The 17069-nt window shown below is 40.6% G+C and overlaps 1 long non-coding RNA gene across 1 annotated transcript in view, besides 1 other annotated feature; it reads left to right on the top strand.

Moving 5' to 3' along the window:
- Positions 1-17069, top strand: part of LINC01170 (long intergenic non-protein coding RNA 1170) — a 378727-nt gene that overhangs the window by 147580 nt on the left and 214078 nt on the right. The window lies entirely within an intron of this gene.
- Positions 178-1141: an enhancer, noted in NCBI's record as "OCT4-NANOG-H3K27ac-H3K4me1 hESC enhancer chr5:123625493-123626456 (GRCh37/hg19 assembly coordinates)". NCBI's record gives its function as "activates a minimal SCP1, AML or CMV promoter by ChIP-STARR-seq in naive H9 embryonic stem cells {active_cell/tissue: H9 hESC(naive)}" and the evidence as "EXISTENCE:reporter gene assay evidence [ECO:0000049][PMID:30033119]".

The raw sequence follows: 17069 nt of genomic DNA, 5'->3' as shown, positions 1-17069 counted from the left end.
TATAGCCTGGGTGACAACATGAGACCTTGTCTCTAAAAAAAATAAAATAAATTTAAAAAATAAAACAGACAAAAAACCCAAATGTTTTGCTAATTACTTTGGCCACGGAGCACTCTCTTCAAGGAACATATCCTGGGTCTAGGGATTTGCAGAACCTACCTTGGGGGATCCAGTTTCAAAAGATGCTTAATGAAAATAAGAATCACCAAGAAAACTTCAACTGCCAGCTTGAATAGTTATGGAATCATTTGGAGGCATAATCACCAGTATCTCTTCCCTAAAGGCATTTAAGGCAATTTCTAGAAAACATTTTATAAGGGAGCAGTGTTCTAGTTATTCAGGTATTAGAGGATGTGGTGAATCTACTTATTTCAGGTAAGCTGGAGAAATGTATTCTCTATCTGATGTGAGATGTTAACAGCATCTCTTTAGAGTGATGTTGGAATGGTCCTCATGAAACAAAAACATGATCCAATTTTTCTTTTTTCTATTTCTGCTGTCATAGTAGCAGCATAGGCTAAGGGAAGAAAAGTGGTTATTTAAAGGCTGTTTTGGCATTGAGAAGGAGTCTGGGATCCTAGGCTGTAAAGGGTTGGAAAGCATATCTCATAAATCAAAGGATGTTAGCCCAAATCCCATTGCTTAAAGGTGAGCCTTCTTCCAAACAAAATCTAAAAGCTTGGAGAAGTCATGATCAGCACAGTTAACACCAAAGCAGCTGATTTCTGGCCTTTGTAAAATGCAGTGTAGTTAAAGCAGGTTTCAGGAAGGAACACATCAAGAACTAACTCTCAAACCTGGCAAAGCTCATTTGTGGACAAGGCCTTGTCAGTGGCTGCCCTGATCTCACTTTCGCTCCTTTGTTCTACTTGTTGCAAGAAGGAACATCTGGCTCAGGGCCTGGAAAGCAGACTACATCCTCCATTGCACCTGCCCCAGGAGGAAAAAGAGAAATGCTTTACTGACAAAAGGTAGGATTTTCAGAGCTGCATTCCTGCCCATTAAAGCAGCTTGTTTGATCCCTTCAAAGCTCAAGATCAAAGGGAGGCTTTTCCGGACCTGCCAACCCATAAAGCTACAGGCAGAGAGAAGGACCTCTTTGTTTTTACAAAGCCAGGTGGACTTGCCATTTCAGTTCCCAGCCAGAGGAGGGGCTGTGGGCAGCTTGTAGGGTTTTCTCACATCTGGCTGGTGCCATTTGGATGCTGGACTTTCCCAGGAAAGCAGGAGCTACTCCAGCAAGATCCTGGCAAGTCAGAACCAGCACTTGGCAAAGAAACATGTAACACCTCCTCTCTCTCTTCGCCTCCACCTGGAGGCCAGATCACCAGCATTCATTTTATTTCCTAATCCCCAAGGCGTAACTACACGTTTCTGGGCCGAGAAAGCTCCCGACACCTTTCCTCCCCCATAATTTACTGAACGCAATCATGAGAAAACAATACTCTAGTTTTAAGTGTACTTAAAAATCGTCACTTTATGTGGTGCTTGCTGGCTTTGAGTATAATGGAATGCATGAACCAGGGAAATGAATTTGGACCCACTTCCCTGAGAAAGTGTGATGAGAGGCTTCTGAGCCCCCTCAGCCTGTCACCACCTCCCTGCCAGTAGCAGAGTCCTCTTGGCCCCAGGCCAGTGCCACATGCTGGCCCTGGCCACGGCTCAAGGAATGACGGGATGTAGTTTTTTTTCTGGTAAAGAGGCAGCCAGATTGTGACTTCCCCTGGCAAGGGCTTCACAGTGCTATAAGAGATTTTTGCTTTAAAAATAATGACAACCTCCTCCCACATACAAACATTTATAAGCATATCTAGCAAAAACCTTCCAGCCATTGGAAGAGGCACAGGATTGTGTAGAAAGTCAACACGAACCTGCATTAACAATGGACCCATCTTAAGCATAGAACCCACAGTAAGAGATACAGATGGAGGAGTTCAAAACAATTATGAAGCTGCAAAGGAGGGGAGAGAGGAGAGAAGCAATACTCCCTTGATAGTGGAAAATAAGGACAGAAACCAGATAAGACAAAGGCCAAGGGAATCGGATAAAGAACACCAATTTCTGTAGGAATAGTTGGCCAGGGTGCAATAGCCCAAGCCTGCTGTTAACTGCAGGAATTCATTGTGCCTTGGGTCAAATTTTTCCCTTAAGAAAGATTTTTCATGAAAGCAAAAATGGGTGGAGTCATGGGACTCTATGCACAGAAGTTTGCTGAATCATGATTTATTTTTTAAGCTATACCTTTTTTCCAGGTTCTGTATATAAGGCCAGTTGAAGGAAGGGGTGAGCTGATCTCAAGGCCAAGGTAGTATCAAAAGGGCCGTGCTGTTTTTTTTAACTCAGAGAATTCTGAATGGATTTATTTGGCAGAGAAAAGAAAGGCTACACTCACCAAGAGGGTTAGCTGAGGTTGGAGACACAGAAGTGGCATCATTCATTAATGTGGAGGGGGGCTGGACCAGGTGCAGTGGCTCATGCCTGTAATCCCAGCACTATGGGAGACAGAGGAGGGCAGATCACCTGAGGTCGGGAGTTCAAGACCAGCCTGACCAACATGGAGAAACCCCATATCTACTAAAAAAAACACAAAATTAGCTGGGCATGGTGGCACATGTCTGTAATCCCAGCTACTTGGGAGGCTGAGGCAGGAGAACCCAGGAGGTGGAGGTTGCGGTGAGCTGAGATCGCACCATTGCTCTCCAGCCTGGGCAACAAGAGTAAAACTCCATCTCAAAAAAAAAAAAAAGAAAAATGTGGAGGGGACAGGTAGGAGCCTGAGTAGTGAACAGGGACACAGCTGTGAGAAGCGAATGGTGGGGAGCCAAGAAGGGGGTAGGGGGAGCCAGTCAGTTCCCGTGCATCTCTGTGGGCAGAGTGCTGATCTGTAGCAGCAGCAGGTCAAATGGTTTGGATATCACTGAGTCACTGTCTTTTTTAATGCTCTGCCTCATGGTTGTTCTGCTCCTGTTTCCCCAGCTGGACTTATGTTAAAGTGGTGAGAGTGGATGTGGTGGTTAGACTGTATCATCCCAAGTCTGTGTCGTGTTGGGGCTGTGAGGGCAGGGCAGAAAGGTCCCTTTCCTCTCCAACACAAGGGTCATGGCTGACATCCCTGTAACAATGACAGGTTAACAAGAGAAAAGCATAATACATTTATTTAATCATAGTTTCACAGGACATGGGAGCTTCAAAGACCCAGGATGAAGTATTCATTTTTATGCTTAGGTTTAATAAATCGTGAACAGCCATGTAGTAATATGATTGTACAAAAAAGGTAGATCTAATGGTAATAGAAGGTGGGAGCAGCAAGACCTGTCTGTTCAGGTGGGGTGCAGTGGCTCACACCCGTAATCCCAACACTTCGGGAGACTGAGGCAGGAGCATCATTTGAGCCCAGGAGTTCAAGACAGCTTGGGCAACATACTGAGATCCCGTTTCTATTTTATAAAATATATATATATTTAAAAATATTTTTTAAAAAGACTTGTCTGTTCAGATTCTTCTTGGCCTCTCTGTGCAGTGATCCTTTCTTCTAGCTATGGGGCAGGACCCTTTCTGGAATGGGTCTTTTATGACCTATAATCAAATATGGTAGGTCAGAGAATTTCTTTATGGCCAGTTCTTACATAGAAAGAGTAATCTTTTTCATTCTTATGACTGGCTTTGGGGAAAAGGGGTTCTGGTTTTTATGACCCACCTTGGGGAAGAGGAATTCCAGTTTCTATAGCTTGCTTTAGGGGAGAATGAGACTGAGAGACAGGAGGGCAGAAGAAATTCAGAAAAAGATCTTTGCTTCTGAGGCTGCTTCTGTGGCCTTTACTTAGGGTTATCACTCTCTGAGCTCCAACAGAGCATAGAGAATGATACCCCAAAGTATGGTGCTTTGACGTGCTGAGCACTTCAAATGAAAAGAAGCTGGAAGGCATTAGAAGCTGCCTCAGAACCAAGGACTTTCTAACTCTCTCTTGTTTTTCCTCCTGCTAAGCACAGGGAGGGACTAAAATTTCATCTTACTAGGAAACATCTTTCCAAAAGAAATGCAATTGTTTAAAGACCCTCTCTCTAGGAATCTCATCAAATGACTAGGAAAGATTAACCACTGGGGAGGAAAAAAGACTACAGGAAAACCCCACACCTTGACAGAGTTTTCATCTCTTCTTCTGAGGGCAGCTCTGAGAAATTACCTGAGAGACTTTATCTGCGTAACAAATAACCTTTGTTCACAATGAAGTTCTGCCCCTCACCTTCTTGCCACCTATTCCAGAGCTCAGAGGAACATTGTCCCACGCCTTTCATTATCTGTTCTTTGGGCTTATTCTTTTCCCTTGAAAAATCTTTTACTACCCCTCACAATTTCCTACATCTTCCCTTTCTCTCTCCCCATTGAAGAGGATATGAAGCCCCTCAATCATCTGGCCCTTCTTTGAGTCTCATATTTTGTATGGCTCCTGTGCTTATTTATTTATTTATTTATTTATTTATTTATTTATTTATTTATTTATTTGAGATGGGGTCTCACTGTTGCCCAGGCTGGAATGCAGCTGCACAATTATATTAATAGCTCACTGCAGCCTCAAACTCCTGGGCTCAAGTGATCTTCCGTTTATTTATTTATTTATTAGAGACAGGATCTCACTGTTGCCCAGGCTGGAGTGCAGCTGCACAATTCTATTAATTGCTCACTGCAGCCTCAAACTCTTGGGCTCAAGTGATCCTCCTGCCTCAGCCTTTCCAGTAGCTGGGATGACAGGTGTGCACCATCATGCCCGTCTATTTTTTTGTTAATTTTCAAATTTTTTTTTGTAGAGACAGGGGTCTAGCTTTGTTGCCTAGATTGGTCTCAAACTCCTGGCTTCAAGCAATCTTCCTGCTCAACCTCCCACATGTCAACATGTTTGTATGCCTTTTCTTCTTCTGTTAATCTGCATGCTGTCCATTTATTTAGCAGACTCAAACACTCAAAGGGGGAGGAAGAATTCTTCCCTGCAGTAGTTTGCTCTACTGATGAGATGAAGGGGAAGAAGTAGTAAAGGTAAATATTGAGAAAATGAGACATAAACAAGGACTTTCACCAGCTTGGAGAGATCAAGCTGGAACACATAGAGGCCAAGTTCAGAGTTGGGCTATAAACCTAGCTCTTGAAGCTTGTGTTGGAGAATAGTGAGCCAAGCATCTTGCTTCACTGCGCTCCTGGCTTTATAAGAAAGCAGCAAGGGATTTCTCCAAAGTGAGAACTCCCTTGAGTCTCATTTTCTCTGTGTGTTGGAGGCAGTGCTTTATCAGGTTGTTGACTGCAGCTTAGACAGTCAGTGACAGATGTGTTTGCAATCACGTGGTTTTAGGAGAGGGCACAGATTTAGGAGATGTCTTCTCATGTCCCTGGTCCCAACACTTCTAATTCTTGGAGATATCCTATGTTCCCTAAAATATGCAGTCCCATCCCATAAAAAATAGCAAAAAAGATCCCTCCTCCTGCTTTTTAAAGACATGTGGACTGTTAGAATATTGAAGCTAAAAGGCACCTTAGTTTGTTTACTTTATCAACCTCCTATGAGGAAATTGAAACCCAGTGAAAATAATTGACTTGTTCAGACCTGAGGTGAGGCATGGTCAGTTAGAATTGTGGTAACAGGGAAACACTGAAACAAATGAGGTCGTTTTGATCCACATGGTCACTTGCCAAATTGGAAATTGGCCAGCCTTAAGGAACAGGCAAGGCTGTAAACTCAACAAAGTCAGGAGCCAGGTCTGTCAGCAGCATCATGGCATTGCCGTTTCTTAACCAAGTTCGTGACACATAGCGCAGACTCAAAATAAAACTTGCTTTTCATAATCTACATTTAATTCTTTAGCATATTATTTTGGCTCCACTTTCCAAATATATTCTCAACCCAACCACTTCTCACATTCTCAACTGACACCACCCTGGACTCAGCCAATGTGATCTCTTGCTTTGATTATTGGAATAATCTCTATATTAGTCTTGCTATACCTGATATTACCAGCTCCTCCATATAAACTATTCTTCCCAAAGCAAGCAGAATAATCCTTTAAAAAGGTAAGGTAGATTATGCCAATCTTCTGCTCAAAATTCTCCAGTGGCCTCCCTAACCCAATACACACACATCATTAACTTTAACTGTATTTCCTCCCAATCCTACCCTCTGCTCAGACACATGGACCCACTTGCTGTTCTTCCAACAAGCCAGGAATTCTGCAACCTCAGGATCTTGACAATTACTATTCTATCTGCCTGGCATGCTCTTGCCTCAGCTATCTACTTAGCTCACTGCAATGCCTTCCTCAGACTTTTGCTCAAATGCCATAATCTCAGTGATGCTTTTCCTGACCTTCCTATTTAAATCACACCCACCCACCCTACTGCTCCCATCTCTGTTCTCTGCTTTATTATTACCCAAGACACTTATGATCCTCTGATATCCTACATAACTTACTTGATTATTGTCAATCTCCCCTAAGTTGTAAACAACATGAAGTCACTTATTTTTGTCTGTTTTGCTGTATCGCCAGTGAATAGAAATGTACCCGGAACATAGTAGGCACTGGATTAATATTTGCTCAATAAAGGAATGGAAGAACAGATGCAGATCTTTTACACACACAATTAGCTTATAGTAAATTCATTGCCCTTTTTCTACTTAAGTAATACAATTATGATGCATTTGTCTTTCCTAAAATCATCCTTCATGAAAACCACAAGGTGACAACAATATGAGAGTCAAAGACCTCAGTTGTCATCATGGCTACACTATATTAGTTGTGTGAGCTCTCTGAGTCTTGGTTTTCATAAAAGTAAAATGGAAATGATAATATCTACTTTGCCAAACTCAGAGAGTTGCTGTAAGTATAAAATATTCTGTATGTAAAAGCATTTTGAAAACTATAAAGCACTTGTTGTATGTAAGTTATTACTATTTCCTATGAAATCTTCTTCCCTAAGGAAGTTGCCTTGCGCTTCAGGTAAGGTAATAATGCATTACTTAAGCAAGACAAGCCATCTTAACAAGTTGAATACTTTGTTAATTTTATAGGCCAGAAACAAGGGAGGTGATGGGGCCCTTTGAACACTATTTCACCATGAATTCTAAGCGGCAATTATCAATTCCTACAAGTTCTCTTGACCTACCCAGCATGGTGAAAATCCTGGTGATTCATTGGCAGAAATGAGTAGAAAATGGTCAGTGGTATTTGATACTCAATCCACAAATACTTATTGAATATTTACCAGCTCTATGCTAGATGCTGAGAAGAAAAATGCATTGCATAAGATTGTAAGCCCTTTCACCACGTGCTTAATCTAATAAGATACAGAATTCTAGCATACAGCCAGCAAATGTGTTTTATAGTCCTGAGTAGCTATGATTGTAATATCAACATTTCCAGCACTTCCCATTTCCTTAGTCTCATGTACTGCCATTCCTAGCTCCTATTTTATGGTTTAGCAATGCTTTCTCCTGTTTTCCTTTTCCTTTCCAATCTTTTTGCTTATTCTTTTTCTTCTGCTAAAACATGCTAATCCTTTAAGACTTGGTTCAGCTGTAAACTTTTTCAGTTCATTCCCGTTGCCTTACTCCATCAGTCTTGTTGAGTTAGATGCTGCTCTTCTCTGCTTCTCCAGCAGCATTTAGAATACAGTTCAAGTTGTGCTCCCAGTGAAATGCAAAGCATTTCCCTGGACTGTATGATCAGATCCTGGCCTCCTGCCGGGTCTTATTTTCCACTATGCTCCTCTGCAAACACTGGCCTTCTTCATGTTCTTCAGATTCTTCTAATGTGCCAAACTTAGGGCTTAGAGTCTTTGTGTTTGCTCTTTTCTCTGCCTAAACACAACAATTGTGTGTTAATTCAAATGTTATCTCCTCAAATATTTCTAGAATGGTTGATTGCATATCTGTGTCCGCACTGTCTAATAAGGCTAAAGAAATATTTGTTGAGCCAACCTGAAAAGATACTGTAATCTTTGAAAACCAGAGTCAAAATGGAAGAAACTATAGCCATTCTTCATGTGACTATTATTCACACGGCAGCTTCTGTACCATGTCAAGGTATTATATTTCTGAATATATATGATTTTGCTAATTAATTAACAACTCACAAGATCTTAGAAACTTTGTCTTTTGGTTTCAGAGATCATTCCAACTTCTTCATTTTATGAATCAGAAAACAAAGGTATTCCACTTACAGAATCCTGGGCCATTGTATCTTCATGATTTCCAAAGCAGAAGCTTGGATTCTCAGTTAAGAGAAAGATGGGATTCTGTGTATGTGGGTATGCCGAATCAGAGCAGGGAAGTAGAAATCATGGGTGCATGGATGAGCGTCAGGACTTATTGTGGAGTCTGTACCTAAATGTCAACTTTCCAGCCCTCTCTGTTTCTTATATTCCCATTATCCCTCATGTATTCCACAGTTTTTCACTGATAACACATATGAGAATGGGGTGGAGACTTGGCAAGAGGAGAGAGGTAATAAAACTTTTTAATGGCAACATTTTGGTGCTCAGACAATGTCCCTGACAGTTTGAGACTATGTCACATAGAAGGGCTGAAGACACCTATTAAACCTGAGTTGTCAATTTTGAGAGCCTCAGAGTCTTGTTACCATCTGTTGGTACCATCTCATTGTGAATGGCCATCCTAGTGTAGGAATAAAGGCAGAATGGAGTCTCCCAAAGTTTGAAAGTTTCAGTGATTATTGATTTGCTTGGACTCAGAGGCCAGGCAATATTCCAAGATCAAGCTTCTATTGGTGGTTACCTCAGGCTGTGAAAAGTGGAGACGTGCAGGTGCAGCTGGGAATGTTGAAAGCAGAGACTCACAGCTTTCTCTCAACAGCCCATTGCACACAATGATCTGCATCTAGCAACTACAGAGTCTTAATAACACTTTCATCAGATTCCAACAATCAAAGAATCATAGACTTTTCAGAATCATCTGATTCAACGTCTAATGTTAAACAGAAACCTGTCCAAAGGTGTGACAAAGGCGTGATCTATCCTATTGGCCAAAAGCAAATTGGATTCAAACCCAAAATCAATTTATATATTTTTCCATTTCTGACGAACACACTTATAATTATATATGAAGAGCAAGCTCTGAACAGCTGGGCAGAAACATTGAAGTTCTCAGTTTTCGTTTGAGTCCTGCTTAATAAATAATATAATAATTTGGCTGCTGCATTTTTCTCTCTGCATTGCTTTTAAACCTGACTTTAATCAACATATTGCATTATTTGAAAATATTGTGAAACCTTCAAAATTCCCATTGATAAATGTCACCAATATCAATGTAAAAGCATTCTGAAAATTACAAAGCACTTGAGGTTTAGTTTCCATTGTACATTTGACATATTATTATAATACTACAATTTCGTTCATTGAAAAAGGTGTATTTCATAGTAATGACTGTTGTAATTATGCTGTGCCATTGTAATCAGTATTTGGGAATCATGACCAGGTGGGATATCAAAAAAGAGAAGTAGAAAAAATACTGCATGATCTCCTGTGTGTGGAATCTAAAAACATCTAACTCATAGAAGCAGAGAGTAGAATGAGGGTTACCAGGGCTGGAGGAAGGAGGGGAGATGTCTTTCAGATAGACAGGAGGAATCAATGTTTGAGATCTATTGCACCTCATAGTGTCTATAGTTAATAATATGATGCATATTTCAAAATTACTAAGAGAGTAGATTTTTAAATGTTCACACGCCAAAATATTAGTATCTGAAGTGATAGCTATTTTAATTAGCTTGATTTAATCATTCCATAACGTGTACATACATCAAAACATCAAAAAAAAAAAAAAAAGTAGTGGGCTGGGCTAAAGCAAAGCTTTAGAGACTCAAATATCTGCATAGGACCCAGGTTGGCTAAGTACATAACGGAAGTTTGCAGGCTGGACTGAGGCTATGATGAACTGGTTTACCAGATCTCAAGGAGACAGCAACAACTCAGCTCCAAATGGTGCTCCAACCTCTACTCTAGGTAAAAACAAACAAACAAACAAACAAACAAACAAAAAACACAGAAACAGACACAGATGTATGGAATCTTGTCATTTTTAATGCACTATTTTTAGAGTAGCTTTAGGTTCATTGCAAAGTTGACCAGAAGACACAGAGATTTTTCCATATCCCCTGCCCTCCCCTCCCGCGCTCACAGCTTCCCCCATTATCAGCATTCCCCACCAGAATCTCATTATTATTAAAGTTTATGATGAATACGAACTAAAAAATAATAATTTTATGTGTCCAATGAAACATATCTGAGATTACGTGTAGCCTGTGGATTGACTCTTCGTGACCTTCAGATAAGAGGCAACTTACAACTTTTCTGAGATGTAAAATGTCATGAACCCAAAACAGGGTCTCCATCTTTCAAGAGCCATAATGCTTACTCTCTCAGCAGACAATGACATAAAATCCAAAAAAGAGTATTTATCCGCAGAGAAAAGCCCTGGCTGTTGCCATGGGTTGCTCCTTTGTTTCATCCTTCCAGTCCCATTTTGCCCCCCTGCCTGGGTCTGTGGTGCTTGCCCATAGCACAGGGTGGCCTCAGCAGATGTCTCACTGGGACAGGAGAGCCACGTGATCCAGGAGGAATTGTCAAGCTCAGCCTCCACTCTCCACACACTGAGTCTTTTCTTTTCAGAAGGGAAATAGGAGTGTCATGATTATTTATTTCCTGACAATTTTTGACAAGTTAGAACGCTTAAGCCATGATAACAATAAAAGTAGATGCGTCATTAATGAATAAGGTATTTTCTCAAACCTGGGTTATTTCCCAGTTTCATAAACAAAATTGATACCGTAAAGTTCTACAGTCAGCATTGTTTCATCATTAACACCACATTTCATGCAAATTGCCTATAATTATGTGTGGAGTTGAATTAATTAATGATATATGGAGAGGAAGCTCTGAACAGCCAGGCAGAAACTTGGAAGTTCTGGTTGTGTCCTGCTTCCTAAATAATATCATAATTCAGCTGATACCATGTTCTCCCTTCCCAGATTGCCCCTTAAACTGCATTGCCTACAACCCCCACAGAACAAACTATGTGGATCCTTTTGAGTGCAGGCTGACAGTGGATTTTGAGGTCATCAACTAGTAACACTGAAGCTTGAACATATGTTTTTTTTTAGCATGAAAATTCTGCAGCCACTAAATATTTCTAAATAGGCACACATGTGCTTTTAGAGAATGCCATTCATGTGTTTATCTTGGGCAAACACACATACTGCACCCAGTCTTAACCTAATTCTTCCATTGCTGCCGTCACCAGAATCTCCAAAAAGGGGTTGTCTTTAATATTCACTGTCTCTAAAATCACCTCTGAACTTTGAATGAATTTTTTTCCTCAGGCTACATTTCCATGTTGAATGTTTTACAATACTGCAAGCGAAACAGTTTTGCACACTGCCAGAAACCTACATTACTTGTGGCAAAGTGGTGATTTGTTATACCCAATGACATTTAGTTAAAGATACCAAAAAAAAAGGTAGGAAGGGAGAGAAAGAGAACAGAAAAACCACAGCTCACACAGCGAGGCTTCATGTCTAATCTGAATAACTTCCATCCCTGCTGAGGTCTCTTATCTTAATGATTTTGCTAAAGAAGTTGTCTTGTCAAATCTATTTAAAAGCTTTTGCCTTATATGAATAATTTACCAACAGAGGCAATTTGGGAACATTCTGATGAGATTTAAAAAAAAAAATAGCTCAGTGATAAGGAGCAAGCTTGAAAGAGTTGTATATAAGAATAGAAAAGTTTCATAGGATCTTGAGGGACTTAGTCCTCAAAAGGTCAATAGATCTGTTCTGGTTTTAGGGAGGACTTTCCTAAAGATTTCTTGTTAGGAGAATAGCCAATTTAGACAAATTTAAGGAAGAAAATCCATAACGTTCCCATAGTAATTAATCTAATTTTTTTAACCTACCAATTAGGAACATTTTATTTATATTTTCAAAATTCTGTTTTGAGAACTCTACTTTTAGTGGAGTTAAAGAGTAAATAGACATTACTCATATATGTCATATGATTGCATTGGCCACTGGGCTGTCCGTATTTGTATAAAGTTCATCATCATCACTGGGCAGTGATCTGATGTGTTTGATGAATCAATCATCTGATTGTTTTGGGCCACATTACTACAATCAGAAAATAATTCCCAGGACTATGGAAACACAGACTGAAAATAACTCCGGTGAGGCCCTTTTTGGGGACTTCCCATTTTGGAATATTGCTAGCCTTATGCTCATTTGAAAGCTGGGTGTATTTCCATCAGGGACTGCCTAGAGAGAAGAAAAAAAAATGTTTGAAAACCTGCTGTGTGGTAAATACTCAGAAAGTTGTGTTACTTAAGGATATTAGAATAGAGAAGTAAGAAAACTTATTCAAGAAACTCAGTGATGGAATGGACCCTGATACTCATTAAAAATCACTCCCTATCTCTACATTCCTTACCACCATCTGCTATGGGTGTGAAAGTAGGTACAGGGGAAATCCAGGTCACCTACAAGATTTTCACAGGCCTGAATGCTTGGAGTTAAGTCATAAAAGCTTTATCCATGCTTATCTTAAAGCAGGAAATCTCGGGTGTAGAGCAGAATAACTTAAGTAGATAATGGGCAAGAAAAGGTTTCTGTTTACTGTTGGCTTTTTCAAGGTTCCATCTCGAATCTTGTCCAAAACAAACATTTCATCAAATGCATTAAGCTCCGGGATTAGGATCTGACTGGATATCAGAGGATTAAAGGGAAGTAGAAAATGTGTCAAGTGAAAATGTGGCCGTGGGCATGAGGAAGAGAGTTATTCTAGGGAAAACTTAGTAAAAGCAATTCTGCAGATGTCAGCTTCTGATAGGCCAACCCCAGCAAAGGTGGGGCAGAGAGGCGTCCTGCGGGAGCCACAGGACTCTCTTGATAGTGCGTCCCATGCAGGGTTTCTTTTGTGTGTACCAGATAGGTGACAACACTGGCATACCCATCACAGCCTGTGCCAGGAGGCAAGGGACAGAACAAGGACAAGGTGGAGAATTAAGCAGATAAGAGGCAGACTAAATAGTCTGGCACTGGGGGGTCTGTCTGGCCTTCCACACTACCCAAGCCATAGGAAACTGACTAGGTGGGCTACCAGGTAGGGTTGTGGGCCTTTTGGGTTCAAAATTTTTTTGAATTTTCCACGGTTAGTTCCCACACATCCAGGCCTCTTTGGGTCAAATTATGAGTGCAAGTCTGGAGACTTCTAGAACATGCGAGGTTGGGGTTGGGGTAGCAATGTGACTCCATTTATAACTATTAGAACTTCTCATAATTTAGAGTTCTTTAGAACTCCAATAAACTCCTATTTGGTGATATTTCTAGATCCTGGGGAATGTTTTTACAGCTACTGAGGGAAGAGGATAAGTAAGATACAATCCCTGCCATAAGGGGCTTTAATAGAAGTCTTATAGTTTTTATTTACATGGGAAAGTGAATGATCTTTTTTACTTACATCCTTCGGAATTTTTCTTTACCACTTTCTATTACTTCTAACCCAACCAATCAGCCAGGCATCCCAATTAGGATTATAAGATTTTCTGATAATTCTAATTGGGATGCCTAGCTGATTGGTTGGGCTGATAAAATAAAACAGGATGCCCAGTTAAATTTTAATTGCAGATAAACAATAAATAATCTTTTTAGTATAAGTATGTCCCAAATGTTGCATGTCCCAAACATAAAGAGGTCTTATTGCATTAGGAAACGTATGCTTTTTCTTTTCAAATATACCTGTGGGGTGTCAGATTTAGCGAATTAAATACAGGATCCCCAGAGAAATTTGATTTTCAGATAAACGACAAGTAATTTTTTAGTCATTAGAATACACTGAAAAGTTATTTATTTATATGAAATTCACATTTAATAGGGCATCATGTATTTAACCTGGCAACGCAAATCCCAATGCTAGGAGGACATTCTTTTACCTTTTCATCCAATTAAATTTTTTGAATCCTTATTGCGTTCAAGGTGTTATAGACTGAGTGTTTGTGCCCCCTCAAAATTCCTATTTTAGGCCAGGTGCAGTGGCTCATGCCTGTAATCCCAACACTTTAGGAGGCCGAGGTGGGAGGATGGCTTGTGTCCAGGAGTTCAAGACTCTGCCTCTACAGAAAAATAAAAAGTTAGCCAGGCATGGTGGCGTGCAACTGCAGTCCCATCTACTTGAGAGGCCATGATGGGAGGATCCCTTGAACTCAGGAGTTCAAGGCTGCAGTGAGCCATGATCATGCCACTGCATTCCAGCTTGGGCAATGGAATGAGACTCTGTCTCAAAATATATATGTATTTTAAATCCCTAACCCCCAGTGTGACGGTATTTGGAAATGGGGCCTTTGGGAGATAATTGCGGGTAGATGAGATGATAAGAGTAGGGCCTTCTTGATAGGATTAAGTCCTTCTAAGAAGAGACGCCAGAATGCTAGCTCACTCTCTCTCTGGAAGCTCACAAAAAGAAGAGGTCATATGAGCAGGAAAGTGGCCACCTGCAACCTTAAGGGGATAGCCCTCACCAGCTATGGACCATGCTGGTGCCTTGATCTTGGACTTCCAGCCTCAGGAACTGAGAAAATAAATTTTTGTTGCTTAAGCCACCCAGTCTATGGCATTTTGTTATGGCATTCTGAGCTGATTAAGAAACAAAGCATGGCGTTAAATGTTGTGAAGGGATTTAAAATTAGTAAGACATGATCTCTGCCCTTGAGGGCCTCTGTCTCTGGAGAAGACAGAGACATGCACCATTGTTCTTGGTCTGCTCTGCTGCCCAAATCTCTCCTACATCTCTTCTTTCTTGTTCTGGTCATGGGCTTTGCCCGGGATAAACCCACATATTTCTACTCAACAGAAGTAGTACCCATCCATGGTATGTTTCTTTCCAGGTTTCCCATGCTCCAATTCATCCTCGACACTGCCCATCAGGGTATTTTCTAAAATATGAATCTGACCAAACAGCTCCTCAGAGTACAATCCATCAGTTTCCTTATTTTCTACAAAATGAATACAAACTAGCATCAGAGTTCTATTATTGACTATCCTTGACTGCTTACTACCCACTACCCATTCTTCTTTGTCTTTTTCTCTCGCTCTCTTTCTCTCTCTCTCTCTCTCTCTTTTTTTTTTTTTTTTAAGAAGACAGGGTCTTGCTCTGTCACCCAGACTGTAGTGTAGTGGCACGATCCTGGCTCACTACAGCCTCAAACTCCTGGGCTCAAGCAATTGTTTTGCCTCAGCCTCTTGAGCATCTGAGACTACAGTGCATACTGCCATGTCCAGCTAATTTTTAAACCTTTTTTGTGGAGATGGGGGCTGGGAGTGGGGTCTTGATTTGTTGCCCACGCTGGTCTTGAACTCCTGGCTTTAAGCAATCCTTTCACCTTGGCCCCCCAAAGTGCTGGGATCACAGCGGTGACCCACCTTACCCAGCCTCCTTTTTCTCTATGAATCCAGTGCTCAAGCACTGCCACCTTTTATGGGTTGAATTGTGTCCCACTAAAAGTATATGCTGGAGTCCTAACCCACCATATGTCAGAATGCTTTATTTGGAAATAAGGTCTTCAAAAGTTAAAATGAGTTCAGTTAAGGTAGGCCTTAATCCAATATGACATATCCTTACAAAAATGGAAAATTTGGACATGTAGACAGACAGGCACGGGGGGAGATGATGTGAAGAGACACAGGAGGAACACCGTGTAAAGACATCAGATTGGAGTGAATCATCTACAAACCAAGAAATGCCAAAGATTTCTGGCAAACCACCAGAAGCTACAAAGAGGGAAGGGAGGATTCCTCTACAGGTTTCAGAGGGAGCATGCCCTCCCTACTGTCACCTTTAACCTCCAGAAGTCTTATGAGACAAATTCTGATTGTTTTAAGCCATCCTGTTTGTGGTACTTTGTTAGCACACTTCTGGGAAATTAATACACATCCTGACTTGTCTTTTTCTTGAATGTCTTGTGCCATTTCATGTCCTTCCAATTTTGCTCATGCCAGTGTCTTGATCTCCAATATCTTACCCTGCGCCCCCTCCTCCGCCAAACACACACACACACACACACACACACACACACACACACACACACACACCCCTCTCTATTGACTCTTACTCCAAAGCCTAGCAAAACCCTGGGAAACTCTGAGCACACCCTTCAGGCTGAATAAGTTGGTCCCTCACCTGTGCTCACATAGAAGTGTGTTTATACCTCCTCCCTAGAACTATCATGTGCTAGTTTTTAGTCATTTAACACTTAATGAACATTGCAAATATTTGTTGGGCATGCAAAGTGCTCAGCGCAGAGCTAAGTGCTTGAATACTGCCATTTAACTTTCACATAAACTCCACGTGAAGTAGGTTTTATTAGTAGTTTTGTTTACAATGGGGAAACTTAATGTTAGAGGAGTTAAGTAACTTGTATGAGATCATGTATCTAGCAAGTATCAAAACCAGAATTCAAATTCAGGCAATCTGATACCATAGTCTGCACTCTTAACCACTCTGACACACTGGCTTCCATTTACGTGCCTTTCTCCCCCTTTACAGAAATTAGATTCTGTGCTTTCAACTTCTTACCTTAGCACCCCACCTATAACAGCACTCCAGAAAGTGCTTGTGATTTTGCAGGGTATTACATTGCATTCAGCTGCAATAACTGTAATATAGGTAGTATGTCTTAGATGGAAAGGATAAAACACACTACAAAGGAGAGAGATCAGGTTTACCAGATAATTGACAAAGGTTTTTAATTAACATTTGATTGCAATATTTATTATGTATTCACTCCTCATGTAGTGGAGAACACTATTCAGTTGTCACTAGGGTACATAATATCACATTTCTTCAACATTTACTTACTTTTTCCAAACTTTTAATTGATTTTTGCTTCATTCTAGATACCTTTTTCTATATCTCTATTGATCTAAATTGGGAAAAAGCTGGAAAAAGTAGTATTTCTTTGTGAGACGTAAAGATTTTAGGACTTAGAATATTAGAAGTATTTTTCATTCAACAAGTAGTTATT

The sequence above is a fragment of the Homo sapiens genome, chromosome 5 (genome assembly GCF_000001405.40).
Source record: "Homo sapiens chromosome 5, GRCh38.p14 Primary Assembly".
Lineage (NCBI taxonomy): Eukaryota > Metazoa > Chordata > Mammalia > Primates > Hominidae > Homo > Homo sapiens.
The sequence above is the reverse complement of the archived record's forward strand: the minus strand, read 5'-3'. Positions and strand labels throughout refer to the sequence as shown.